Source organism: Homo sapiens, chromosome 15 (genome assembly GCF_000001405.40).
Source record: "Homo sapiens chromosome 15, GRCh38.p14 Primary Assembly".
Lineage (NCBI taxonomy): Eukaryota > Metazoa > Chordata > Mammalia > Primates > Hominidae > Homo > Homo sapiens.
Genome location: NC_000015.10, coordinates 78,331,295 through 78,358,067, shown reverse-complemented (window position 1 = coordinate 78,358,067; position 26,773 = coordinate 78,331,295). Strand labels below are relative to the sequence as shown.

General features: G+C 49.0%; 1 protein-coding gene across 1 annotated transcript, besides 2 other annotated features; it reads right to left on the bottom strand.

Annotated features, from left to right (window-relative positions):
* Positions 1-9,842: 9,842 nt before the first annotated feature.
* Positions 9,843-17,715, bottom strand: CRABP1 (cellular retinoic acid binding protein 1). Its single transcript, NM_004378.3, has 4 exons — positions 17,570-17,715; positions 16,847-17,025; positions 14,456-14,569; positions 9,843-10,141 (listed from the first exon to the last, which is right to left on the bottom strand). Exons 1-4 carry the CDS (start codon positions 17,637-17,639, stop codon positions 10,091-10,093), a joined length of 414 nt encoding a protein of 137 aa, NP_004369.1. The 5' UTR covers positions 17,640-17,715; the 3' UTR covers positions 9,843-10,090.
* Positions 17,537-18,165: an enhancer, noted in NCBI's record as "H3K4me1 hESC enhancer chr15:78632245-78632873 (GRCh37/hg19 assembly coordinates)". NCBI's record gives its function as "activates a minimal SCP1, AML or CMV promoter by ChIP-STARR-seq in naive H9 embryonic stem cells {active_cell/tissue: H9 hESC(naive)}" and the evidence as "EXISTENCE:reporter gene assay evidence [ECO:0000049][PMID:30033119]".
* Positions 25,601-26,415: an enhancer, noted in NCBI's record as "H3K27ac-H3K4me1 hESC enhancer chr15:78623995-78624809 (GRCh37/hg19 assembly coordinates)". NCBI's record gives its function as "activates a minimal SCP1, AML or CMV promoter by ChIP-STARR-seq in naive H9 embryonic stem cells {active_cell/tissue: H9 hESC(naive)}" and the evidence as "EXISTENCE:reporter gene assay evidence [ECO:0000049][PMID:30033119]".

The window sequence follows — 26,773 nt, the reverse complement described above, 5'->3', positions numbered from 1 at the left end:
AGTACAGAGTAACTTTTTTTTGTTGTTGCGTTTTTGAGTTGCGGTCTTATGGCATCACCCAGGCTGGAGTGCAGTGGCGCAGTCACAGCTCACTGCAGCCTCTACTTCCCAGGCTCTAGCAATCCTCTTACCTCAGTCTCCCAAGTAGCTGGGACCACAGGTACATGCCACCACATCCAGCTAATTTTTAAAATTATTTGTAGAGATGAGGTCTTGCTATGTTGCCCAGGCTGGTCTCGAACTCATGGGCTCAAGCAATCCACCCACCTCGGCCTCCCAAAGTGCTGGGATTATACGTGTGAGCCACAGAACCCGCCCCAGAGTAAGTTTTTTGTCTGTGACCTGCCTCTTGGGAACTAAAACTCTGGCTTCTCTCTTAGAATCAAAAGTAGGCCCATCTCTTGGCCCCCAGATTGTGGTTTCTAAATGCCATTGTCTCCTAAAACAACTAGGCTCCTCGGAAAAATGGCTGATTCCAGGTCTGGAACAGGAAATGAGCTAGAGTATCTTATTAGAATAAATAGCAAAGAAGTTATCAGAGATACTAGGGTCCTACCAAGACTCAAGAGCCAATATAAAGAAGCTCCCAGTGGCCAAAGATGGGTCACTTTCAGCATCAATGAGGATAATAACTACGTTGAATTGAAACATATCAAATATGTTTTAAATTACAAAAGTCATACATGTGCATTATAAGTGAATGTCAACAATACAGAAATAATGAGAGTAAAACGGTCTCTCAGATGTAACCACTCTTAATGGTTTGGTGTGTGTCCTCTAGGGTTCTGGTTTTTTTTTTTCTTTTCCCTGAAAAGAGCTAAGCATATAGCTTTTATTTTCCCATTAAACATATCAAATGTGTTTCAATCCATAAATTAATAATGATATTAAAAAAGGAAAACAATGGCTGGGGCACAGTGTCTCATGCCTGTAATCCCAGCACTTTGGGAGGCTGAGGCAGGAGGATCGCTTGAGCCCAGGAGTTCGAGATGAGCCTAGGCAACATAGCAAGACCCCTATTTCTAAAAAACAGTAAATTTGTTTTAAATTAGCCAGGCATGGTGGTGTGTGCCTGTAGTCCCAAGCTACTCAGGAGGCTGAGGTGGGAGGACTGCATGAGCCCAGGAGGTCAAGGCTACAGTGAGCCATGATCATACCACTACAATCCAGCCTGGGCAACAGAATGAGACCTTGTCTTAAAAAAGAAGAAAATAGAAAACAGAAAAATGCATTGGTCACTTTTGAAGGATGCCAGGAAAACCAATTCATTGCTCTAAAAACTGGTAAATACAGGGAAAGAATCAAGTATTTATTCTGTCTTTCCTATGCATACTGTACCTCAGGATAACCACATAGTAGATGAGAGCAAGTATTTCTTTTTTTTTTTCTGAGATGAAGCCTCGCTCTGTTGCTGAAGCTGGAGTGCAGTGGTGCGATCTCGGCTCGCTGCAACCTCCGCCTCCCGGGTTCAAGCAATTCTCTGCCTCAGCCTCCCAAGTAGCTGGGATTACAGGCACCCGCCACCACACCCAGCTAATTTTTTGTATTTTTAGTAGAGACAGAGTTTCTCCATGTTGGCCAGGCTGGTCTTGAACTCACCGATCAAGTATCTTTTTATGGAAGTATTCCAGCTCATAAACGAAGGAGGTAGAATTAGAATATCCCCATGTTTCAACCTCTAATGAGAACTATAAATGTAGCCAGTGATCACCAATGGCTGTTAACGTCATAGAAAGAGACAACCAGGGCCAGACACGGCAGCTCATGCCTGTAATCCCAGCACTTTGGGAGGCCGAGCGGACAGATCACAAGGTCAAGAGATCAAGACCATCCTGGCCAACATGATGAAACCCCGTCTCTACTAAAAATACAAAAAAATAGCTGGGTGTGGTGGCACGTGCCTGTAGTTCCAGCTACTCGGGAGGCTGAGGCAGGAGAATCGCTTGAACCCAGGAGCCGGAGGTTGCAGTGAGTCAAGATCATGCCACTGCATTCCAGCCTGGCGGCAGAGTGAGACTCTGTCTCAAAAAAAAAAAAAAAAGAAAAGAAAAAGAAAGAACGAAAGAGACAACCAGGTGATTTCAGTCTTCCTAAGGGAGCAGAGCATATCACCTATGAAGTATTCTTGCCAAAACATCACCCTTGAGTCTGGCTGAGCTTCTAGAGCTACCAATCTACAGAAAAATACAGAAGACAAAGAACATGTTAAGTAACACCGCAGAAATACAATCATCAAAATCTAGACTGTGTGAAGCTCTGCAGGACAAACAACGAGTTTCTCCACAAAATACAATACAAAAAATAAAATGAGGCAGAGGAAAATTTATAGATTCAAAGAGATTTATAGTTATTTCAATCTTGATTTGAGCAAGGAGGTAAAAAAGACAATCAGGAAAATCTGAACACTGGTAGGATCTTTGATGATATTAGGATTTGTTAATTTTAAGGTGTGATAACATTTTTATTGTAATTTTAAGGGAATTATTAACATTTAGAGATATAGGTAGATTTTTTTATTTTTTATTTTATTATTATTATTGTTGTTTTAGACAGAGTTTCCCCCTGTTGCCCAGGCTGGGGTGCAGTGGTGCCATCTCGGCTCACTGTAACTTTCGCCTCCTGTGCTCACGCCATCCTCCCACCTCAGCCTCTGGAGCAGCTGGGACTACACGCATGCGCCACCACGCCTGGCTGATTTTTGTTTTTGTTTTTTTTTTCTTAGAGATGGAGTTTCACCATGTTGCCCAGGCTGGTCTCGAACTCCTGGGCTCAAGTGATCTGCCCATCTCAGCCTCCCAAAGTGCTGAGATTACAGCCACGGGCCACCACACTGGCCATCCTCTTGATCTTGACAAGCACCTGAAATGATGGTCTTGGCCAAGTCATTTCCTGTTTCTGAGTTCCATCTCCTAGCAGTTGGAATTGCTTAAAACGGGAGAGAGGCTCTGATGGGTTGGTTTAAGCACAACTGCCCACCCAGTGTAAGGGTTTGTAATTTCAAATCTACTCTGAGATGTGTTTATTTGACCCTTTGGGGACTTTGTGAAGATTAATTTTTCACCCAGTGACATCCCACATTTATTTTATAGGACACTTTGCTGGACATTCGGGAGGGCAGATATAGATGTAAGTGATGTTTTTGACAAGATCTGGGGACTTTCTGACACTAATGGATAGTTACAGTAAAGTGCTGGAAGGAGGGAAGATCCCTGGAGGGTGCTCCCAGAGGAGGGGGTGCCTCTGAAAGGAGTGGATGGGGTTGGGTTGGAGTGTGAAGGCTGCATTTGTAGACTTGCTGCCCCATATTATTTTCACTGATAATATCCTTGCTGTGTACTATGAAACTCTGGCTCTTATGGCGATGAGAAGAGACTGAAGAGGGGATTGAGAGAGATGTTACAATAGGAATGGGGTCTTACCATCCATAAAATATGTTAACTTCATTGTTTCTTTTGAGCAAGATGGCACATTGTCTAGTTCCATGGCACTGGTAGTCATTATCAAGACAGATGACTAGAAATCTGCCAGTTAGTCAAATCTACAAGCCTCTGTCCTTCTTTAGGTTACCTCGGTGTATCATTTAGAAATACTTTTCAGTGCAAGTACAGAAACCACTGAATAACTGGCTTAAACAAACAGGGGCTACCTGCCCTCCTCCTCTCCCTTCTGCTCCTTTTTTTTTTTAAAATTATTTTATTTCAGTAGTTTTGGGGTAACAGGTAGTTTTTGGTTACATGGATAAGTTTTTTGTTTTGTTTTGTTTTTTGAGACAGAGTCTCACTCTGTTGCCCAGGCTGGAATGCAGCGCCACCATCTCAGCTCACTGCAACCTTCGCCTCCCAGGGTTCAAGCGATTCTCCTGCCTCAGCCTCCCGAGTAACTGGGATTTCAGGTGCACACAACGATGCCTAAGTTTTGTATGTTTTGTAGAGATGGGGTTTCACCATGTTGGCCAGGCTGATCTCAAACTCTTGACCTCAAGTGATCTGCCGCCTCGGCCTCCCAAAGTGCTGGGAATACAGGCATGAGCCACTGCACCCGGCCTATGGATAAGTACTTTAGTGGTAATTTCTGAGATTTTGGTGCACCTGTCACCTGAGCAGTGTACTTTTGGGCCAGGCACAGTGGTTCACACCTGTGATCTCAGCACTTTGGGAAGCCAAGGCAGGAGGAGGTCAGGAGTTTAAGACCAGCCTGGGCAACATAGTGAGACCCAGTCTCTACAAAAAATACAAAAATTAGCCAAGCATGGTGGCACACACCTGTGGTCCTTGCTACTTGGGAGGCTGAGGCAGGAGGATTGCTTGAACCCAGGAGTTCAAGGCTGCAGTGAGCCATGATCACACCATGATTACTCCACTGCACTCCAGCCTGGGTTACAGGGCAAGACCCTGTCTCAAAAAACAAAAACTAAAAATAAAACAAAAACAAAAATACCCTCCCACTTCTGGGGATAGGGACAGGCAGAGAAGGTGCCCTAATGGAGGGTGCTCGCCTTGAACATGTAAAAGATCAGAGAGGTCCAGAGGAGTGGGTTCAGGGTTTGGACCCATGTGGCTGGAGGGCAAGGTTTAGGTGGGAATCTATAAAGCTCCCAGCACTTAACATAAGTTACCCAAGTTCTTCTAGCCAGCTTGGTGGATGGTGTTAACCACAGTTCACACCTACCCAGTCTGTTTTCCCCTATTCCTCTTCATCTGCTTCCCAGGCTCTATTTCTCGCTTGGGGTCGGGGGGGTAAGGGGGGGAAATCACGTGACTCACGAAGACCAATCATTGTACTATATTCCTCCCTAATTGTGATTGGTCCAGGGTTTATCATGTGACTCAAACCAGCTGCATAAGGAAATCAAGATGGAGTGAGACACAGATAGAAACAGGGACTTTAGGGGCCTGCAGGTTCAGATTTTTGGCCCCAAAGCTCAGTTCTTGCAGCTCCTCCTTCAGAGGGCTTCCTCCTGAGAGCTTCCCCAACATTCCTTACAACCAAAAAAGTCAATACATTTCTTTTTTTTCTTGAGATGGAGTCTAGCTCTGTCACTTAGGGCTGGATATGAAGTGCAGTGGCCTGATCCTGGCTCACTGTAACCTCCGCCTCCCAGGTTCAAGTGATTCTCCTGCCTCAGCCTCCCGAGTAGCTGGGACTACAGGCATACCACACCAGGCTAATTTTTTGTATTTTTGGTAGAGGTGGGGTTTCACCATGTTGGCCAGGCTGATCTCCCAACTCTTGGACTTAAGTGATCTGCCCGCCTATGCCTCCCAAAGACCTGGGATTACAGGCGTCAGCCACTGGGCCTGGCCCAATACATTTCTTTAAAAAAAAAATCGCTACTTTTCTTTCTTTCTTTTTAGTTTCTTTTTTGTTCTTACAAGGTCTTACTGCATCACCCAGGCTGGAGCGCAGTGGTGTGATCATAGCTCACTGCAGCCTCTCCCTAGGCTCAAGTGATTCTCCTGCCTCAGCCTCCCAAGTAGCCAGGACTGTAGATGCCTGGCTAATTTTTGCTTTTGTTTGATACGGAGTCTCACTCACTGCAACCTCCACCTCCTGGGTTCAAACGATTCTCCTGCCTGAGCCTCCCGAGTAGCTGGGGTTACAGGCATGCACCACCACGCCTGGCTAATTTTTGTATTTTTTATAGAGACGGGATTCCACCATGCCGGCCAGGCTAGTCTTACACTCCTGACATCAAGTGATCTGCGCACCTCAGCCTCCCAAAGTGCTGGGATTACAGGTGTGAGCCACCGCATCTGCCCAAATTTTTGTATTTTTTGTAGAGATTGGGGGGGTCTCACTATGTTTCCCATCTCAAACTCCTGGCTTCAAGCAATTGTCCTACCTTGGTCTCCCAAAGTGCTGGGATTATAGGAGTGGGTCGCCACACCCGGCCAGTTTTACTGAGATATAATTCACATAGCCTACAATTCACCCATTGAAAGTATACAATTCCATGGCTTTTATTGTATTCATAGGGTTGTGCAACCATTACCACGTCGATCTTAAAACATTCTCATCACCCTAAAAATAAACTGTGCATCCAATCATTCCCCATTTCCCCTCAAAACCCCCAGCCTTAGACAACCACCAGTCTACTTTCTGTCTCTATGAATTTACCTATTCTAGAGATTGCATATAAATCAAATAATACAACAGGCAGTCCTTTGTGGCTGGCTTCTTTCACTTGACATAATGTTTCCACGGTTCATCCATGTTGTAACAGAGTACATTTCTTTTTGCTGGGACTGGTTGTGGTTGGGTTTCTAGCACTTGCAAACTAAAAGTGTGGTCAGGATTTGACGCTAGATCTGACAGGCACCAAAGCCCTTGTTCTTTCTGTTTTACCTGGCGAGGCCAAATCATGGAGGGCTTTGAATGCCAGGCCAAAGGGTTTGACTTTCCTGCTATAGGCTGTGGGGACTACTGAGCAGGGGAGTGACAAGTTTACAGCAGTGTTTTAGTGAGAGTATCCTGATGACAGTGTAGGTTTCAACCTATGTGTGTGTATATATTACATATCATATGCAATGTGTATACACACAAATGTCTTAGGGCTGATGATTATAGCAGCAGTTCTCAAACTGGGTTCCACGGAACACTGCGGTCTCATTGGAGGTGTTCCATGAGGTAATGAGAAATACTGTGCCTTTTATCTGGAAAATGCAGAAGGAACAAGATTCAAGAGAACCAGGATGCAGCCGGAGTTCTGAGTCTAAGTGAACTACTGGCACTTGCTGTGACTTCATCTAGTCATCCAGATACCCCCACCCATGCCTGTTGGCTGTCAGGCAGGATGAGAGTTACAGCTGGTAGCCTCCTTTACTCTGCTCTGTTCCTCAACCTTTGTGAAAGCTGATCTGAAGAAAACTCGTGAGGGAAAGAAAGGCCTTCATCCTCCCTTCAATCGGACAAGGTCTTTTATATAGAACCATCGTGGAATGGCAGGGCAGTGCTTTTATGGAGCAAATCTAGATATGGAGAAGGCAATGAAGCAGTGGGAACTGGGAAAGGGTGCAGACCGAGATGTCTGAGGCCTCACCCAATCCATCCACAGTGGCAATGAGTACCCAATACCTACGGGCAGAGTCCAGATATCCCAGCTTCATCCATCCAGCATGACTACTTGCCTTGCCCTGTGTGGCCAGCTCAGGACACTTTCTTTCTTTCTTTTTTTTTTTTGAGATGGAGTTCCACTCTTGTTGCCCAGGCTGGAGTGCAAGGGCGCGATCTTGGCTCACTGAAACCTCTACCTCCTGAGTTCAAGTGATTCTCCTGCCTCAGCCTCCTGAGTAGCTGGGATTACAGGCGCCCGCCACCACATCCTGTTAATTTTTGTACTTTTAGTAGAGGTGGGATTTCGCTATGTTGGCCAGGCTGGTCTCGAACTCCTGACCTCAGGTGACCCACCCACCTTGGCCTCCCAAAGTGCTGGGATTATAGGTGTGAGCCACCATGCCCGGTCATGTCCCCACAGTTTCTAATTGAATTAGAAATTAAATTAGCACATTCACACTCAGATGGGCCTTCCAGTTGCATTTCTCTCCACTGCATACTAATCCATGTCCTCCCTATCCTTAGAGGCCCTGGGCCAGCCCCTTCCTCTAAGAAGCTGTGGGGCAACTCCTCCGGCACGCCACTCTCTGCCACAAGGAACTCTGTGTTTTGTAGGGTACTGAGAGTGGACTTGGCTGTTTCTGGTGAGCAGTGCAGCCCCAGAGAGGAGAAGCAAGCATAGAGGAGGGAATGGCATGGTGCTTGCATTCACTGGCCCCAGAGGCAGTGGGTTAGAGCTAGAAGTTGAAGAAGCTGTTTTCATAAGGGACTCTGAGAGGTTCTGGACACAATCCAAGGTGCCTCAGGGACCTGAGGACAAAGGATAGCCCAGTGTCAGGTTTTCTCCTGACTCTGACCCAGAATCCAGCCCCATTCTGATGCATCGGGGCCTGGTGGCTTTGGGACCGTGGGAAGCAGTCTGTTGGCAGAGCCACTGGCACTTTCATGGGGGGGCATCACAGCAGAGGCAGTGCATAGAGCCCCAACAAGCAGGCTCAGGATGTGAGATGTGTTCTATTCTGCAATAGATTTGTCCCCTGTGAGTTCCACATGTAGGTAGGTAGAGTTTGAGTGGAGGGCTGAGGTCCTCCATAAGCAAATGTAGATTTGTGTAGGTTTTCATCCTGTGTGTGTTTTCATCCTTTCGGCCTAGGGTTCTGGGCTGGGGGAGGGGGGAAGGGTGACGCCTCAGGTAAACTGTGTCCCCATTCACACTCAGGTGATAGCACCTGGGCCTTGGGTGTCTGCCCTGCCAGAGTGTAAGCTCTTTGAGGGTCTCCTGGCCTCACTCTTGCCCATACACTGTTGGATGGCCCACTCTGACCCAGCTTTGCTGAGAATCTGCATGCTTGGTGTTGGGAACAGGCCTCCCAAAATCTGGCCATAAACTGGCCCCAAAACTGGCCATAAACAAAATCTCTGCAGCACTGTGACATGTTCATGATGGCCATAATGCCCATGCTGTAAGGTTGTGGGTTTATGGGAATAAGGCAAGGAACACGTGGCCCGCCCAGGGCGGAAAATCGCTTAAAGGCATTCTTAAGCCACAAACAATAGGGTGAGCGATCTGTGCCTTAAGGACATGCTCCTGCTGCAGTTAACTAGCCCAATCTATTCCTTTAATTCGGCCCATCCCTTCGTTTCCCATAAGGGATACTTTTAGTTAATTTAATATCTATAGAAACAATGCTAATGACTGGCTTGCTATTAATAGATATGTGGGTAAATCTCTGTTCGGGGTTCTCAGCTCTGAAGGCTGTGAGACCCCTGATTTCCCACTTCACACCTCTATATTTCTGTGTATGTGTCTTAATTCCTCTAGCACTGCTGGGTGAGGGTCTCCCCAACCAAGCTGGTCTTGGCACTTAGGATGGCAAGGACAGAAGCCAGGCAGGCAATGTAAATGAAGCTGGGGCCAGGATGGGGTCTAAGGGGAAGCAGAGGGTATGAGTTCCATTTAAAAAGCGGGAAGCTTCCTGGCCAGTTGTTACCCTGTGGGAATGTAGGTCTGGGGATGCCAGATTTTCCCAGTTTTTCATTTAAGGAAATAGAGATTCAGATTATGTGAAATCTACTGATTTTCAAGTTTAAAAGTCAGCAACTGTGTGGGTTGTTGTCCATGCGCATGTTCAGATCCATTCTCCCCCTGGCCACATCCTGGGAGGGTGACCCTTGTAAACAGCACCCTCTTCCCTGCCCTCTCCATTCCTATTGGATTTGGCCAATGGACAAAATAGGTAGAGACTGAAAGGTGGGAGATTAGGATGTTTATCCCCCTTGTTCCAAGCCAAGTCTCCCCTGACCCCATAAACACTGGGGCCATGGTTTTGGCAGTGGCTCCTCTCCTAGGTTATAGCTCTCATGGTCTGGTGACCCCTCTTTCCCTTCTATCTTCAGGCCTGGGGGTGAATCCCTCCACTGCTTGTCTTTGGGTGCCTCCCCATCCTTTGCTGGCTCTATTCATCCTGCCAGTATAAACAGTCCCTTCATTATGAGCTCTTCCCTGTTAACCCCTTTTAAATGTGCCGTTTCCTGCTGGGAACTACTGATACCAAGTAATTCAATTGAACAGCCACACTGGGAGGTGCAATCACACCTGGATCTGCAGTCTGGATCCAGCCAGTCTGCGGGAGCCCAGCTTGCAACTGCTGACGTATGCTCAAAGCCCCACACCGAGGCCAGCAGGCCAAAGCTGAGAGTACCGCACAGACCAACACAGTGCTAAGGACAGTAGGTACACAATAACTCCCACGTTGAAACTGAAGAGGCAAACCAAAAAAGGGAAAAGGTTGAGACACGTCTAACCAGTTTAATGACTTCGAAACCGTGCAAATGCCAAACTATGGAGCACTAGGGATACAAGAGGCACCAAGGCCTGGGGGGTGGGGGTGGGGGACACTACAACATTGTCATGGGGAAAACGGGATCACCTAATATTGGTAGGGGAAAAGGGCGGTCCACTGGCAGCTCAGAACTATGACATATTCCTCAGGGGAGCCTGCATCCCTTCCTGAAAGTAGGAGCAAGCCAGCTGCCTTCACTCTCGGACATAAATTCTGGTGCAGACCACGTCATCGGCGCCAAACGTCTGCAGAGAAGAAGAAAAGGAAAACCAATCAGTGCAGATGCCTGTGCAAAAATGTTTAAAGCATATCACTAATAAGGCCACTTATTGCCCTGTTAAAAACTCTTTGTAACAGACATTCAATTTCCTGTGTGTGTGCTCAGGCTAAGCATTAAGGGATATTTTTTCCCCCTTAAGCGCTATTGGTAAAGAGGTAACCAGAGTATAGAATTATGTTATATACCATTTTCCTTTGCTTATGGAACCTGTAAAATGCTGACATAAGAAATGCCAGGAGTTTTGGTTTTAAAATTAAACTGAAAGGGAAAGAATGTCACAATGGACATTTCTGAAGTGGCTCTGTCTCTTTTCAAATGACTTCAAGATAGAAAGAAGCTCAGGCAGCTGGGGTCATGAGGCCCAGCACTCACCAGCCAGTTCTGTTCCTTGCTTTGGAGAAGGAATAGAACTGCTTTCCAGGAAGCAGTCATCTAACCTGGGAGACAGGCTGAGATGCTGTATATGTAATACTCAAGTCACCTGCAAGCTAGAAAATTGGTCTCAGCTGCAAAAGCACAGCATTGGCATCCAAACCTAGCCCCTGCAGCTCACAGCTGGCTAAGCTTGGGGGCAAATGTTTTCCTCTCGTGGCCTGTTTGGGAAAGGGGCAGGCAGGGGCTGGTGTTGAGGAGAGGGGTGGAGTTGACAAGATGATCATCGCAAAGGCTCTTCCAGCTAAAATTCTATGGCTCTTAGTTTGTTTGCTGTAGGGAGGACACGAATCATTGCACAGATGGAGGAGGACATTTTTCTGCTGGCCCCTGAAATGATATTGCCCACAAGTAAACTGTCTCAACTTTCCCCCAAAACTAGCAATTACTCACAGGCCTGCTCTCCTGGACCTCTCACAGGCAGTTAGAACAGGGAAAGCAATATGTATGTTAAAAAAAAAAAAAACAAAAACAAAAACCAAGAAACAGAAATTCCCCAGTCTGTAAACCTGATGTGAGTATGTTTGTTTGCAAATGTACATTTATGTGCCAGAAGGTCCTTATCTTTCAGATTCTTAAAGTGGCCTGAAATTACAGAGATGTTAAAACCACTAAACGAGGCATTTAGCTATCCTAGGATCTTTATATTCTTACCCTGCCATCTTAGTTGGTCACGAGATGCTCTCAGAGAACATATGCTAAAACATTATCCTGACACGTGTGCTTCAGGGAAATAGTTCAAGTCCTTAGTGACTGAGGAAGCAGATGCCCATCACTAGCTTCTTTTCTTTTTGAGACGGCCTTACTCTGTCACCCAGGCTGGAGTGCAATGGTGTGATGTCAGCTCACTGCAACCTCTGCCTCCCAGGTTCAAGTGATTCTCCTGCCTCAGCCTCCCAAGTAGCTGGGATTACAGGCATACACCACCATGCCCAGCTAATTTTTGGGTATTTTTAGTAGAGATGGGGTTTTACCTTGTTGGCCAGGCTGGTCTCGAACTCCTGACTTCAAGTGATCCACCTGCCTCAGCCTCCCAAAGTGTTGGGATTACAAGCGTGAGCCACTGCACCCAGCCACTAGCTTTTCATGCTAGGGATCTCCTGACCAGACTGGCAGTTATACCCACTCCTGGACACCTTTGTCCTAGCCTCTTCTCTATTGGGAAGAAATGCAGGTGATTCTGCATGCTAGGGGGTGTGGGGCTTGACTTTCCCACCGTAAGTCTACCTCGCAGATGTCTGGACGCCTCAGAACCATGTTAATTTTCCATAATTCTTTGAGTTCTACAGCCATGGATTGTCAAATGGCTGCCAGCATTTGGGTATTGAACGCTGTACCCTGGAGAAACTATTCTCACTAGCTGACAGCTCTCCCCAGCTAACAAATAGCTTCATGACATGAGAAGAAATCGCCGCATTTCCAACCACATTTGAAGCGCCCTTCTCAGCCTGCAAACTATGCTTAGAGGTTCCCGACAGAAACTCTCTGTAGAATATTCCAGAGTGGTTTGTGGGAGTATACTCAGTTTTCAAAGGAAGGCAACTTATAGCCTGGGGGCAATTTACTGTTGGCGCTGGGAGAGCTTATTTCAACTTAACTAGAATAATTGCCTCTTGTTATATAGAGACTGCATCTCTCTGCGTTTTAGATTTATTAATGATAATAACCCTTGAAACAAAAGCCCACATTTCAGATCCAAAATGCCAAGAGTTAATACTCCCTTTCCCTTTGAGTCTTGTATATATGTTTGCTGTGCCAGGGAAGAATGCAGGGATAGAACTGAAGTTGGGAGGAGGGAGGATTTGAAAGTGATGGGGTCCATCTAGCAGAATTTGGCCTGTGACTCCAGCTGCTCGTATACTACAGAGGTTAATAAAATCACTCTTTCTCAGAGCAAACCGATCCTACTGAACCCTCAGCTACATTCTAAAACTCTAAAATCATCTCCCTCTGCTGTCTCTGGTACCAGTAAACCATATACGCCTTTTCTCCTAAATTTCCATGTCTCAGCCTCAAATTGCTCCCCCAAGCCCAGCAAGTATCCTTTCCCTGGAAACAATATTAACCAGGTTGCAAATTAAGCCAGTCCTTTCTCTGTGAAAGGAGAAAGCATGTTAAATCATACCAGGGAAGGACAAGAGGAGAGAGAGAAAGATCAAGCAGTCTCATTTCAAGTAATAGCTCAATTTAGGGTCTTCTTGCAGAATAAACATGTAATTTCAAGGCTGAGAGGGACCTCAGGGATCAGACTTCAGCTTAACCCCTCATTGTATAGCAAGGGGAAGAGCTTGGGAAGGGAAGGCCTATGCTCAGGTCACACTGCAAGTCCTTTCCTAGCACCCTTCAGCAGGCAGTCTCCTATTCACAACATTTCAAGGTGACATTCACTAAGATGGAGCAGAGATTAACAAAATACCTAATGGAGAACAAAGGATATAATTTCCTGGTTACCCAAAACAGCTTTCCCTTTTCTGGTCTGGAAGAAAAGGGTGGTTGCAAAACCCTTAATTAGTTTTTTTGTTTTTTTTTTTGTTTTTAATTTTGAGACAGGGTCTCAGCTCTGTTGCCCAGGCTAGAGTGCAGTGGCATGATCACAGTTCACTGCAGCCTCAAACTCCTGGGCTCAAGTGATCCTCCCACTTCAGCCTCCGAGTAGCTGAGACTACAAGCATGTGCCACCACACTCAGCTAATTTTTTTTTTTTTTTTTTGTAGAGATAGGGGTCTCACTATGTTGCCCAGGCTGTTCTCAAACTCCTGGGCTCAGCCTCCCAAAGTGCTGGGATTACAGGTGTGAGCCACCAATCCCAGCCCAGTTTTGTAACACAAAGGGAGAGCGAGGGGGATTGTTCTGCCCTCAGCCTTCCTTTGTTCTCTACCTAAAAAAAGGGGAGGAAGTGTGTGCTTAAATTATAGAGGTTTCTAATTTGGCCTCACTAGGTAAGTTTTGTTTGGCTAGGAGCAGGTGTTTAAAATGTTTTCGTCTGAATACTTTTTTTTTTTTAGAGACAGAGTCTCTGTCGCCCAGGCTGGAGTGCAGTGGTGCCATCTCAGCTCACTGCAACCTCCGCCTCCTGGGTTCAAGTGAATCTCCTGCCTCAGCTTCCCGAGTAGCTGGGATTACAGGCATATGCCACCACGCCCGGCTAATTTTGTATTTTTAGTAGAGACGGGGTTTCTCCATATTGATCAGGCTGGTCTCAAACTTGCAACCTCAGGTGATCCACCCGCTTTGGCCCCCCAGAATGCTGGGATCTGAATACTTTTAAGGAAAAGCCTATCTTTTTTAGTTCTACAGGGGCTCATCTCTCCACACTGTGTTATACTCAGACACTTCCCAAATTAGCATTCATTGCCTGGCTCCCAAAGGCCATTGGAGTTTGCAAATCACAGCTAAAAATGTTCTCTAAGGTTCTGAGTGCTGATGTGATAAAAATTACTGAAACCTTTTCCAGCCAGCAAAAGGGGGAATGAGAATGAAAAAAAATCCCTTCTGCCATGTGAGCGTGGGGACCTCATAGAGCCTAAGCATTCCAAGCCTGATGAGAGGGGAGCTTGGCTTAAAGCATGTCACCGCCACTGGGATGTATTAGTGTGGATAGTGGCAGGCACTCCAGCCTGTCTCCAGCCCCTATTCCATCCTCTGAGCCACTCCTCTTTCCTGCCAACCATTTAACAATGATTTCCTCTGACCTGAACTGTCATCTCGGGTTTTCTGCTCTAATTTTAATCCAGGGCAAATGGTGTCTTTCTCTGAACGGCCGAGTGAGGAGGACATATTTGTGGGGCCCATCTGGGGCCCCCTCTGGGGGAACTTCAGGATTATTTCAGGGTCAAGGGTTCCCTACCAGGATAAGTTCATCGTTGGCCAGCTCACGGGTCCAGTAGGTTTTGGGGCCGTCCCCTTCAAGAAGAGTTTGCGTGCAGTGGATCTTGTTCTCATTCTCCCAAGTGGCTAAACTCTGCAGGCGGGAAAACCATTAGTGACATTAATTAGAGTCTCAGCAGCGGGAGCAGGGACAACAATGAGCATTGAAAAATAATTGCTCTGCAGAGAATCAACACATGGTCCCTGTCAGCAGGCCACAGATTCTTCTCCGCTGAGCCTTATAAAGTCCAAATTCAGAGTGCTGGTCACAGATTTTATGGGGTATAAATACACCTTGTATAACACACACACACACTCACAAGCACACACAAACAATCTCTTACTGAAGCAGCGAGGCCTTAGGCATGCTTTACATCTCTAGGAATAAAATTTAGAGCATGAAATGATTCATTTATATAAAAATTAGCTAACCCTTCAAACAATTTGGATTTTATTTATTTTTATTCATTTTTTTTTTGAGATGGAGTCTCGCTCTGTTGCCCAGGCTGGAGTGCAGTGGCACAATCTTGGCTCCTTACAACCTCCACCTCCCAGGTTCAAGCAATTCTCCTGTCTCAGCCTCCTGAGTAGCTGGGATGACAGGTGCCTGCCACCACGCCCAGCTAATTTTTTTGGTATATTTAGTACAGATGGGGTTTCACCAGGCTGGTCTCGAACTCCTGACCTCAGGTGAACATAATTTGGATTTTAAAAGCAAGAACCTTCACATCAGAACCACAAGATTTGACAACAGTTAAGACACCAAGTTTGTAACCACATCTGTCATCAGCCTATCAGGAGCACGATTCCCTGCATGGATTTTGGGATAGGAACGTCCTTTCTGTTCACTCCTCATCAGATTTAGTGCACCCCTGCACTGATAAACCTCGGTGTCTTTGGCTCTGAGGGTTAAAATGCTGCCACTTTCCCGGTTACATCCCTTTAGAAAAAATTTAAAAAGCAAATCAATCTGAAGGCTCTTCATGCTTTTGGAGGTGGGAGGCAAAAGGAGGGATTTCCTGAAGTTTTTCCCCAGTGTCTGCACAAAGCTAAGTGTGGTACAGCTGGGCTGGGGGGTGGGCCAGAGCTGAATGTGCACATAATCAGTTTTTAACTAACACATGGGACACATTCATTAGGCAAGGTGTGGGGGGATGGGGGGTGCATAAAGCCCCACTCTCCCGGCTGTTGTGTGAACCTTTAATTTTTTTTTTTTAAATCAGAATTACCCTTCCTGGCAGTAGCCAACATTGGATGTCCCCAGACTGAGCCCTGCCTATTGCCAAGCCTCCTCTCTTAGACTCCCAGCCCTTCACTCTATGCTGTCCTGCTCTTTGTTTCTGCAGTGCAGTTTAGGCTTCAGATCCCACCCCCTCCAAGCGTGGAGATCATTTCCAGGCTATGACAATTCTGGAGCCAAAGATTGCCTCCTAGATCAGCCTGCTTCTGGGGGGCTTTGTTTCTTTGTCCTTCCAAGCCCGGTGCTCAGAGAGTCCCATTCCGAGATCAGACCAGGCACTGCTCAGGAAAGGTGAAAGAAACAATTTCCCACTCTCTGGAATGTTACGACTTTTTTCTTTAAAAAAAAAAAATTGGAGAAGGGGAGGGAGACATTCTGTCACTTTTTAAATAAGTGGTAGCACCGGTGATTATTTTTCCATCTGGTTAACCAAATGCAATTTTTGCCCATGCAAAAAACGAATGTACAACCCCTTGCTTCAATCCACCGGTTCATCCCTGGGCCGATGCATGGAGAAATAAAAAAAAACTCTTGCCCTTGAGGACTAAGAGAGGGCAACTAGTCCATTTTCCCAGCCAGAACCTGCCTTGCTTTTGGAAAGACTCCGCCGTTCCTTTAAGGAACCAGGCCGAAGGCGGGAAGGGAGAGGTGACGGGGCCATCGGGACTGCTAAAACTGTATCCAGAGCGTACCCAGGCGGCCCAGGGACCCGGGCGGGCGCGGGGGATACGGCGGGAAAGGAATGCAAGAGCTGCGGCTTCACCTGCGACAGAGAACCTGGCGGCTCCTGCAACCTCCTCCTCCTCCTGCGCCGCCTGCGCTTGGCGCTGCAAACCGCTGCAAAAGCCACTGCTGGGAACGCGGCGCAACCCAGAGCCCGCTCTTTAAGCGCGGCTGTTAGCACCCCGGGAGGCAGCGTAGGGATGGGGTTGAGATGGAATGAAGGTAATACTTTGTCTTGAGCCAGGGGCAACTAGGATGCACAAACCCCCTCTGCAAACAGCCAGTGTACACACCCTGCAAGGAAGGCGCGCCACAGGCTGCAAAGGGAGACACAGGTTCCTCCAGCAGCAGTGGGCCATGGGCACCGAGCGGGGACACGGGGACGCTGTAGTGGCTCTGGGGCCTCACCCTGCACTTGCGTCCGTCCACGGTCTCCTCCTCAAAGCCTTCTCCGACCTTGAAGTTGATCTCAGTGGTGCGCACCGTGGTGGATGTCTTGATGTAGAACTGATCCCCGTCCTGGCGGATCTCCACGTGCGGCTTGGACGCAGCCGCTACGGCCACTTTCCTCAGCATGGCGTTCACACCTGCGCAGGGTGCACCACAGGCTTGGGTCACGGGGCCTCGCCGCCAGTCTCGGGACCGGTCGGGCACTGGTCATACCCTAACTTTAGAAAGGGGCCTTAAAATTGATCCACTCGTTTCCCTGCCCTCGCCCTTGTTTTCGAGATGAGAGACTGAGGCACAGAGAGGGTAAGTGACTTTCCTCGAGTTGCACAGTGAATTCGTGGCAGAGCCTGGTCCCAAATTTGAGTCTCCAAATTTAAGTCCCTGATCCTCCTTGCTCTCCAGTAATCTCTCCTCGCTATGATCTAGCACGAGATAAAGTCCGCACCATCGAGGAGGGCGCCAAACATTCAGCAAACGTTCGCTGAACGCGTGGGTTCCGGGATCTCTACCAGCTTCTCCGAGACCCGGTGCGCCTGGGAGACAAGGCGATCTATTGCCCCGGGGACTCCCTCCTGCCTGGGCTCCCCAACTTCCACCCCCTCCAGGACCGGGGCACTTCCGGGACCAGGGCACCTCCGGGCCGCATCTCCCCGTCGGGGCGCGCCCTCTGCACCAGCTTACCCAGTGCCTTGAGCAGCTCGTCGAAATTCTCGCTGCTGCGCATCTTCCAGGTGCCGGCGAAGTTGGGCATGGTGGCGGTGGCGGCGGCGGCAGGTACGGACAGCGGCGGCGCAGCGGGCACACTCTGAGCTCGCAAGGCGGAGACTGGCGCTTTGCGCCCAGCGCTGCGCGCCTTGAGTCACTAGGAGAGCGCCCCCAACCCCGCCGGGCTTCTGGCCCCGCCCCGCCGGCCCTGCCCCCGCTCCCCCGCAGCCCCTACTCGGTATGCGCTCAACTCCCAGCCCAGTTGTGCCTCAGCCTCCAGAGGTGCGGGCACCCGCTCTCCAACTGGGGAGCCTCCACCTCCCTCAGGACACCCACATCCCGCTTTAAAATGGGTGGTGGGAGAGGGTTAGCTGAAACAAGATGGGCTTGGAGGGGATAACTGTTGAAGCTGGGCGGTGTGGACTTGGGTTATGATTCTACTTTTCTCTCTACTTTTGAATATGTTTGAAAATATCCATAACATAAACTTAAAGTGGATAGCGAGCGGGGCCATCAGGGGATGGGACCCACTCTTTTTTCACCTCCGGTCGTACCTACTGGGTGTGCCCAGATGGTGTCCCTTCCCTCCCAGTCCGGGATCCTATTCTGAAACCCTCTCCCCGCATCCCCACGCCCCCCACAGGACCCATGGGGAGTGAGTGGCAGGAAACCGCAACCCCCATCAACACCAGCTTGGGCACTGAGGCGCGAATCCACGAGCTGCGGGTCCTCCGCGTTCCGAGTGCAGGAGGGGGCCAGACCTTTGTCAGGGCTCAGGACAAACTGTGGGTCGAGAGGCATGGACTGAATCAGCTCCAGAATCTGGGCTAGGTGCGGCCTGTTTTGCAAAAGCGTGAGGCTTTGCACTCTTCGGGCAGGCTGTGAGGGCCAAGGGGAGGAAGTCTTCTCCCTTTGCTCCCAAATAACCTAAACATCACGACCTAAAGTCCCCTCGGTGTTTCCACTAAGGGAGTACAAACACTTCACTATTACCCTTGTAGCTCTTCTCTGTACATTTTCCTTCCAGCTTTTTCCCACTATTTTACCATCTGCACACCTCAGCCAAACTGTACAATTCAGGATTCTAGAACGTGCCATGCATTTTATTATCTCTAAGTTTTTGCCCATGCCATGGCTTCTTCCTTGAATGCCCCTTTCCTCATCGGGTTAATCAAATCTTGCCCATTCACGAAAGCCCATCTTTATGCTCTCTCTTTTGTGAAATTCAGTTTCCTAATAAACTGTGATTATTTTTCTCTGAATTGACAGGATTCTTGTCCGGTCCTGCTCTTGTTCAAGTCTTCGCTCTGCTATAAACTGAACTCCTGGAGGGCAGTGATCGTTTATCCACTTGTCCTCCCTTCCTAAGGCTTAGCCAGGTGGGGCTCGATAACTGTGCATTGATTTGAGGAGGATGTGAGTGGTGGCCTGGGGTGAAGATTCCCCCAGGACCTTGGGGAATCTGTGCTGAGTGCCTACTGAACAGGGCCCTGGAAACTTCTGGAGGTGGCTGGGGCTGGGTTGCTGCCAGGAGGCTCCGAGGATCTGTCTAAGAAAGCAGCTGAGGACAGGAGAGGGGAGTGGGGCCATCACCAGCTGGAAAGGGGCATGGGCAGGGCCGGCATTCTGGACGTGCCGTCTGTGCAGTCACACAGGGCCATGCACTTAGAAGGGCCTGATAGTTAGATTGGAAAATGGAAAAGCAGGAATGCTCTGCTATTGCCAGCTTGAACGTCAGAATACTTTTTGTTTGTTTGTTTGTTTTGAGACAGAGTCTCGCTCTGTTGCCCGAGCTGGAGTGCAGTGGCGCAATCTTGGCTCACTGCAACCTCTGCCTCCTGGGTTTAAATGATTCTCCTGGCTCAGCCTCCCAAGTAGCTGGGACTACAGGTGTGTGCTACTATGCCCAGCTAATTTTTTGTATTTTTAGTAGAGACAGGGTTTCACTGTGTTAGCCAGGATAGTCTCGATCTCCTGACCTCGTGATCCGCCCTCCTCGGCCTCCCAAAGTGCTGGGATTACAGGCATGAGCCACCGTGCCTGGCCCCATAATACTTTTTGAACAAGGAGTCCTGAATTTTTATTTTGCACTGGGATCTGCAAATTAAGTAGCAGGTCCTGGATGTGGGAGGCAAGGGATGGAGCTGCCATAGAATCAAACCCACTTCACAGAGGGTTGAGTGCCTCTCCAGTGAAGGGGCAAAACAGGAGTGCCATCCAGCTAATGCAGGCCTCTGCCCCCATCCAACACTCTTCCCTAAGAAGGCTTCAGCCATCTAAAGGGCAGGGCTGGGGAGGGACTGGGGCAGGAGGCTGGAGGAGGGCAGCAATGTTGGAGCAGCATCCTAGTTTACAGCCCAGAGAGACCTTGTGAGGATAGTCAGAGGGCCGTGGATGAGGCACAAAGGTGACAGAGAGCTCTTGCAGCAAAGGCATTGGATGGACAAAGAGGGAAGAGGGAAAGAAGAAGGTGAGGGAGGGAGTCAGAGAGAGAATGGGGCAAGAGGGGCCAGATGAAGGTGTCCACTCCAAAAGTTGGCCATACTGGGACAGGACAGTGGTGTCGTTCTGCAGGCACAAAACAAGGGCGGGAGCAGGGTCCAGGAGTGAGGAGGGCACAGCCAGTTCAGCCATAGAGTGGAAGATGATCCCAGAGTCCTTGTGAGCCCACTCTCCTTGTTTTTAAGACAGGGTCTGGCTCTGTCGCCAGTGCTGGAGTGCCCTGGTGCCATCTTGGGTCACTGTAACCTTGCCTCCCGGGCTCAAGCAATCCTCCTGCCTCAGCCTCCCAAGTAGCTGGGATTACAGGCATGCACCACCGTGCCTGGCTAATTTTTGTATTTTTAGTAGAGACAGGGGTTTGCCATGTTGCCCAGGATGGTCTCGAACTCCTGAGCTCAACCAGTTTGTCCACCTCAGCCTCCCAAAGTGCTAGGATTACAGGCATGAGCACCCAGCCTGCTGTCCTTGTTAATGGAAGTTTAGAGGTGACCAGAGCAGACAGGAGGGGCCAGGACTTCTCAGAAGACCCAAATCTCATCAGGTGGCACATGGAAATGGGAGGGCAGGCTGCTATCACCTTCCTGGCTACTGGGGAAACCCCAGAGTCAAGAGGGCCACAAAAACACCACCACCATGGCTGGGCACGGTGGCTCACACCTGTAATCCCAGCACTTAGGGAGGCTGAGGCAGGCGAATCACCTGAGGTCAGGAGTTCGAGATCAGCCTGGCCAACATGGTGAAAACCCATCTCTACTAAAAATACAAAATTAGTCGAACATGGTGGTGCGCCCCTGTAGTCCCAGCTACTCAGGAAGCTGAGTGAGGAGGATCACTTGAACCCAGGAGTCCCAGGTTGTAGTGAGCAGAGATCGCACCACTGCACTCCAGCCTGGGCAACAGAGTGAGATTCCGTCTCAAAAAGAAACAAACAAACCAACAAATAAACAAACAAAGAAAGCCACCACCATCGTGGTGTTTCTGTGGATCCAGAGCAGGCCCCCTGCTGGGCAGAGACCCGGCTCTTGGCCCGGGTCTTCAAACAGATGGGCAGAACCACCTGAAATGCTCTGACCTCCCTGTCTTCTCTCCTTCTCTTCTTTTACCCTTCCATTCGCTAACCTTTGCTGACCATCTCTGTGAGCCAGGAACTGGGTGCACCTCTGAGGATAGTGACCACTCAAGATCCAGGTCCTGTCTTGAAGGTTCACTGTTTACACAGGAGGAAATAACCTAGAAACTCTGTGATCACCACACGGGCTAATAGTGCCTGAGGGGCAGGTACTGAGCCCAGCCTGGGTTGAACCTTAGGAGTGGATCCAGAGGGGCTGTGAGAGTGAGGGAGTACAGTCAGAAGAACAACACGTGCAGGGACAGGGTTATGTGTTTGGGAACCACATATCTTTTGGCCTGGCTGGAGTGCATACCTTGAAGGGAGCAAGGTAGGAGGTAAGACAAGAGATGAGCTGAAGGCACTCTCCTAAGGACAAAGGGTCATGAATGCAGCGTTCCCAGGTGGCCACATAGAAGGATTTAAGCAGAGATGAGCCATGGTCCTACTGCATATTTGGAAAGTTGCCACCACCACAGCGTGGAGAATGAATGAGAGGAGACAAGTATATTACCAGGGATGCAGGGAGGAGGATTTTGCCCTGAACTAGGCAACCAGCGGTGATGTCGGCAGTGGGTTAGACCACAGTGGTTCCCTAAGGCTAGTCTGTGATTTGAGTCAGGCATTACAGCAGCCTGGGGAGCTTTCTAGAAATTCAGATTCCTTGGCCCCAGCCCAGGAGATTTGGATCCTGTAAGTCGTGGATAGGGCCCAGGAAACTGTGTTCGGCAAGTTTTCCAAGTGATTCTCCTTGCACAGCCAGATTGACTTTACAATATGTCATGACTGGTAGGGGTGAGGGAAGTGGGAGCAAGAGGCCAGAATGACTCCTAGATTCCTGGGTGGTGTGCTTGGTGGTCTCATTTGCTGCTATAGGTAAGACATGGATGGCAGATGAGTTTTATCTGGGAAGCGCTGGGTTTGAGTTGTCTGAGTATCCAGGATCCAGTGGGAAGTGTGGTTTTGGAGTTCGAGAGAGAGGTCTTAGCTGAAGACAGGGATGGGGGTCACCTGTTTCCAGCAAGCAGTTGAAGACATGAGTGTGGATGAGATGCGCAGAGACAGGACACAGAAAGAGAAGAGCAAAAGGCAAAGGGTAGAGCTTGGAGAATCTCAGCGTTTAGGGGTCAGATGGAGCAGGTGAGTGCTGAAGGAAGCAGGAGGGGAGAAGGAAGAAAACCAGAGGGTGATGTCCTCCCAGTCAAGGAGCCCAGCATTTTTTAAAAGGAGGGATTGGCTGGGTGCAGTGGCTCATGCATGTAATCCCAGCAGTTTGGAAGGCCGAGGTGGGTCGATCACCTGAGTTCAGGAGTTCAAGACCAGCCTGGCCAACATGGTGCAACCCCATCTCTACTAAAAATACAAAAATAGCCAGGTGTGGTGGCAGGCACCTGTAATCCCAGCTACTTGGGAGGCTGAGGGAGGAGAATCACTTAAGCCTAGTGGGTGGAGGTTGCAGTGAGCCAAGATTGCACAACTGCACTCCAGCCTGGATGACAGAATGAGACTCCATCTAAAAAAAAAAAAAGGAGGGATGGACCAACAGTAACAACTGCTCCAAAGAGGTTCATGGAGGCAAGGGCCACCACGTGTCCTCTGGATGAGCAGCAGGACGGTCTTCGTGACTGCAGTCAGAGCAGTTTTAGGAGGTGGTGGGGTCTGAAGGCAGGATCAACAGGTTGAGTTTGGAAAGGAAAGCGTGAAATTGGAATCAGAAAATGTAGACAACTCTTTTGAAAAGCATGACTGTAGGGGAGGGGAGAGATGAATTGAAAGTTATGAGAGGAGGTAGCACCAAAGGACTATTCAGAGTTTTGTTGTTTGCATTTCAGATGGGAGGGATTTGAACATATGTACAAGGTGAAGGCAGAGACTAAAGAAAAGACAGAAGGTGCAGGAGAAATAGAAGATGGACACAAGTGGTAGAGATGGGAGAGGAGGAGACCCAGAGTGCAAGTGGAGGTGTCTGCCTTCCAGGTAAAGGAACCAGAAGTTAAGGTGTTCCCGTCTGTGTCCTTACCTTTCTCTGTTAGGTAAGAGAGGGGTCTTCTGCAAAGAAGGAGGGAAAAGTTGCAAGATGGGGCTCTTGGAGAAAGCTTGGAAGAGCCCCTTCTAAAAATAGGAAAGGTGACTCAGGGTGCACAGAAATGATGCTCCCACCTGCCTCACCAGGAACGGCTCCAGGAAGGTTGGAGAGCAGGACAGGGGCTGGCTCCAGATTTCACAGTGGAATGTGCTTTTCTCCAGCAGATCTGGGACTCCAACATATAGGTGATGGAATAGTGGGCATGTGAACTGAAGCAGAGACAGAGAAGAGCAGAGCAACTGAGAGTGATGACGGAAGGGGTTGAGGTGTAGGACAGGAGTTCTGGGCAGAAGAGGGATGGAAGTTGAGCCATGACAGGGCTTGCTAGGCAGGGAGAAAATGGAGGAACTCAAAGGCCTGGAAGTCCTGTGAGGGCGAACGATTGGTGCGCTGGGGCAGGAAGGTGGGCATGGTCAGAGATTAAGATACTGCAATTTAGGAAAACGATAAAGCCGTCTTTAAGATGTGAGTGTACATTATTAGTCTTGAAGAGGGCCATTGGTGTGCACCATTTCCTAAACATATTGAGTCTTAAATCTGGAGAATCTTGTAGGACTGGTGTTTCATAGAACCCACTTCAATCAACTCCGATAAAAGATAATGGGAGCTGCCAGGCACAGTGGCTCATGCCTGTAATCCCAACACTGGGAGGACAGGGTGGGCAGATCACCTGAGGCCAGGGGTTTGAGACCAGCCTGGCCAACATGGCGAAACCCCATTTATACTAAAAACACAAAAATTAGCCAGGTGTGGTGGTGCATGCCTGTAGTCTCAGCTACTCGGGAGGTTGAGGCAGGAGAATCGCTTGAACTCAGGAGGCACAGTTTCTGGTGAGCTGAGATTGCACCACTGCACTCCAGCCTGCATAATAGAGTGAGACTCTGTCTCAAAAAAAAAAAAAAAAAAAAACCAGAAAAAAAGGTAATGGGAGCCATGGAAGGTTTTTAAGGAGAAAATGCCTTGGTCAGATTGCATCTTAGACAGATCTTGCTGGTGGCCTGCATGGAGGATGGATTGAAGGAGAGTGAGAGCTGTTACATGGAAAGGAATGAGGAGTCTACTGCAGTGGTCCAGGCAAGAAATATAGTAGGTTAAAGCTTGAGGAGGTACAAGATCTGAGAAATATTTAGAAAGTAAAATATTTATTTCTAGAAATATTTAAAGTAGGACAAGTAGGACAGATTAGAGGTTGGAAGTGAAGGATAAGGAGAGATAGGTGCTGAGTTTCTAGCTTGGATTTGACATGGAAAGTGAGACCAACCCAGATGGTGGTAGACAATTTTGTAAGGAGGATGCTGACTGCCAGCTTGGATATAATAGCTTTGAGGCTCATGGGGACAAACAGATGGAAGCGTTCAGAGCATGAACTTCAGTGAAGCAACAGGAGGGAGTGTTCTGGAAGGCCTCGAGGATGAGGGAGTCAGTTTGCCACAGTATAGGAACCCTAGAGAAAGAACCCATGGAATGAAGGTATAGGGTAATGTGAATCACCATGACATTTGAATTTGGAAATACCTGGGCTTCAGAGTAGAGCACTGATAGCAGAGTGGGAGGACTGGGGACAAGAGCGTGGAGTGCCAAATGGAATTCTGTGGTACATGGTCTGGGAGCTTGGCAGTGCCTGCCTGGACAGCTAAGGACAGGGATCAGACTTTGGGCCCTTACTGCTCAGCCCAAGGAGACTTGACTGGCACTGGCCAGTAGGCAAAGGTGACTTATTGGCTGAACACAGCTGCACAACTGTCAGTTAATTCCATGACTGTGGGATTCTAGCACATTGCAGGGTGTTTTGTGTGTATGGTGCATGCTCAGGCACACATGTGCTTACATTCAGGATCCCCTTATTGTTTTGGCTGGAAAAGCTGATCTTTGAATCTCTGGAACTTGAGGCCAGGGGTTTGAGACCAACCTGGCCAACATGGCGAAACCCAGTCTCTACTAAAAATACAAAATTTAGCCAGGTGTGGTGGCGGGTGCCTATAGTCCCAGCTACTCCGGAGGCTGAGGCAGGAGAATGGCGTGAACCTGCGAGGCAGAGCTTGCAGTGAACCCACGAGGCAGAGCTTGCAGTGAACCCACGAGGCGGAGCTTGCAGTGAGCTGAGATCGCTCCACTGTACTCCAGCCTGGGTGACAGAGCGAGACTCTGTCTCAAAAAAAAAAATACAAAAATTAGTTGGGTGTGGTGGCTTAAGCCTGTAGTCCCAGCTAGTCGGGAGGCACGAGAATCGTTTGAACTCAGGAGGCAGAAAAGACTTTTTTTTTTTTTGAGATGGACTTTCACTCTTGTCACCCAGGCTGGAGTGCAATGGTGCGATCTCAGCTCACTGTAACCTCTGCCTCCAGGGTTCAAGCGATTCTCCTGCCTCAGCCTCCCAAGTAGCTGGGACTACAGGCGCGTGCCACCACACCCAGCTAATTTTGTATTTTTAGTAGAGACAGGGTTTCACCATTTGGCCAGGCTGGTCTCAAACTCCTGACCTCAGGTGATCCACCCGCCTCGGCCTCCCAAAGTGCTGGGATTACAGGTGTGAGCCACTGCACCTGGCAAGACTTCTTGGAATGAAGATCTGTGAGTAGATGCACTTACTCACCCACTCACCATGTTTGGAGGGAATGCTATGTGTCAGGCATGGGGTTTAGAGGAGAAAGGACATGGCCCAAGAATGGGAACTCACAGGCCGGTAGGGAAGAGAGATGCACCAAGATAAAGTCTGGGACAATGTGGTAGTTGCCACGAAGGGGGAAAGTGGAAGCATTTGGGGAACTCAGGAGAGGGCATCTAACCCTGGCAAGTTTGGACTTCCCAGAGAATATGACATTAAGCCTAAGCAGGGCCCTGAAGGATGAACAAGAATTTAACAGGCAGACAAAGGGGAAAGGGCATTCTGAGCAGAGGAAACAGCGGGGGCTCAGAAGGGAAGCTGAGCAGGGCTCTGAGGCCTCTTGCAGCTCCAGTGAGGGACAGTCTGTAAGGAGCCTTCTGGAGAAGGGACTTCCTTGGCAATCAGGTAACCTCACCTTGGAATCCAGGGACCTCAGTCTGGACCACTCCTTCCTCTCCCCCAGCACCCACCCAAAAGGGTCTTCTCAGCTGGCTGCAGTTGCCTATGGTGTGTGGCCAGTTCCTGGTATTTCCTCTCCTGATGTGGATTGCTCAGGCCTGGGCCCTCTCTCCAAGACCCCTTTGTTCTCTGGCTGGCAGCCTAGAGTCTGGCTCCCGCCTTTGCAGACCCCATGTTGCCAGCCCCTCCCAGGCCACTGACCTGCATCCCTGCCTGGGACATTTCTGCTGAGTGTAGCTACTTTTGCCTAGAGGCACGCCAGAGCCTCAGCCCCCAGGGGCCCGCTGGCCCGGGGCCCCACGCCCTTAGGCAGCCTGAATTCATGCTGGAAGAATGGGGGTCAGAGTTCAGTCCCCGAAAGCTGGGGGCTCTGAAGAGGGTCCCAGTGGGGGTCTTCAGGGCAGCTGTTTGTAGTGGGGG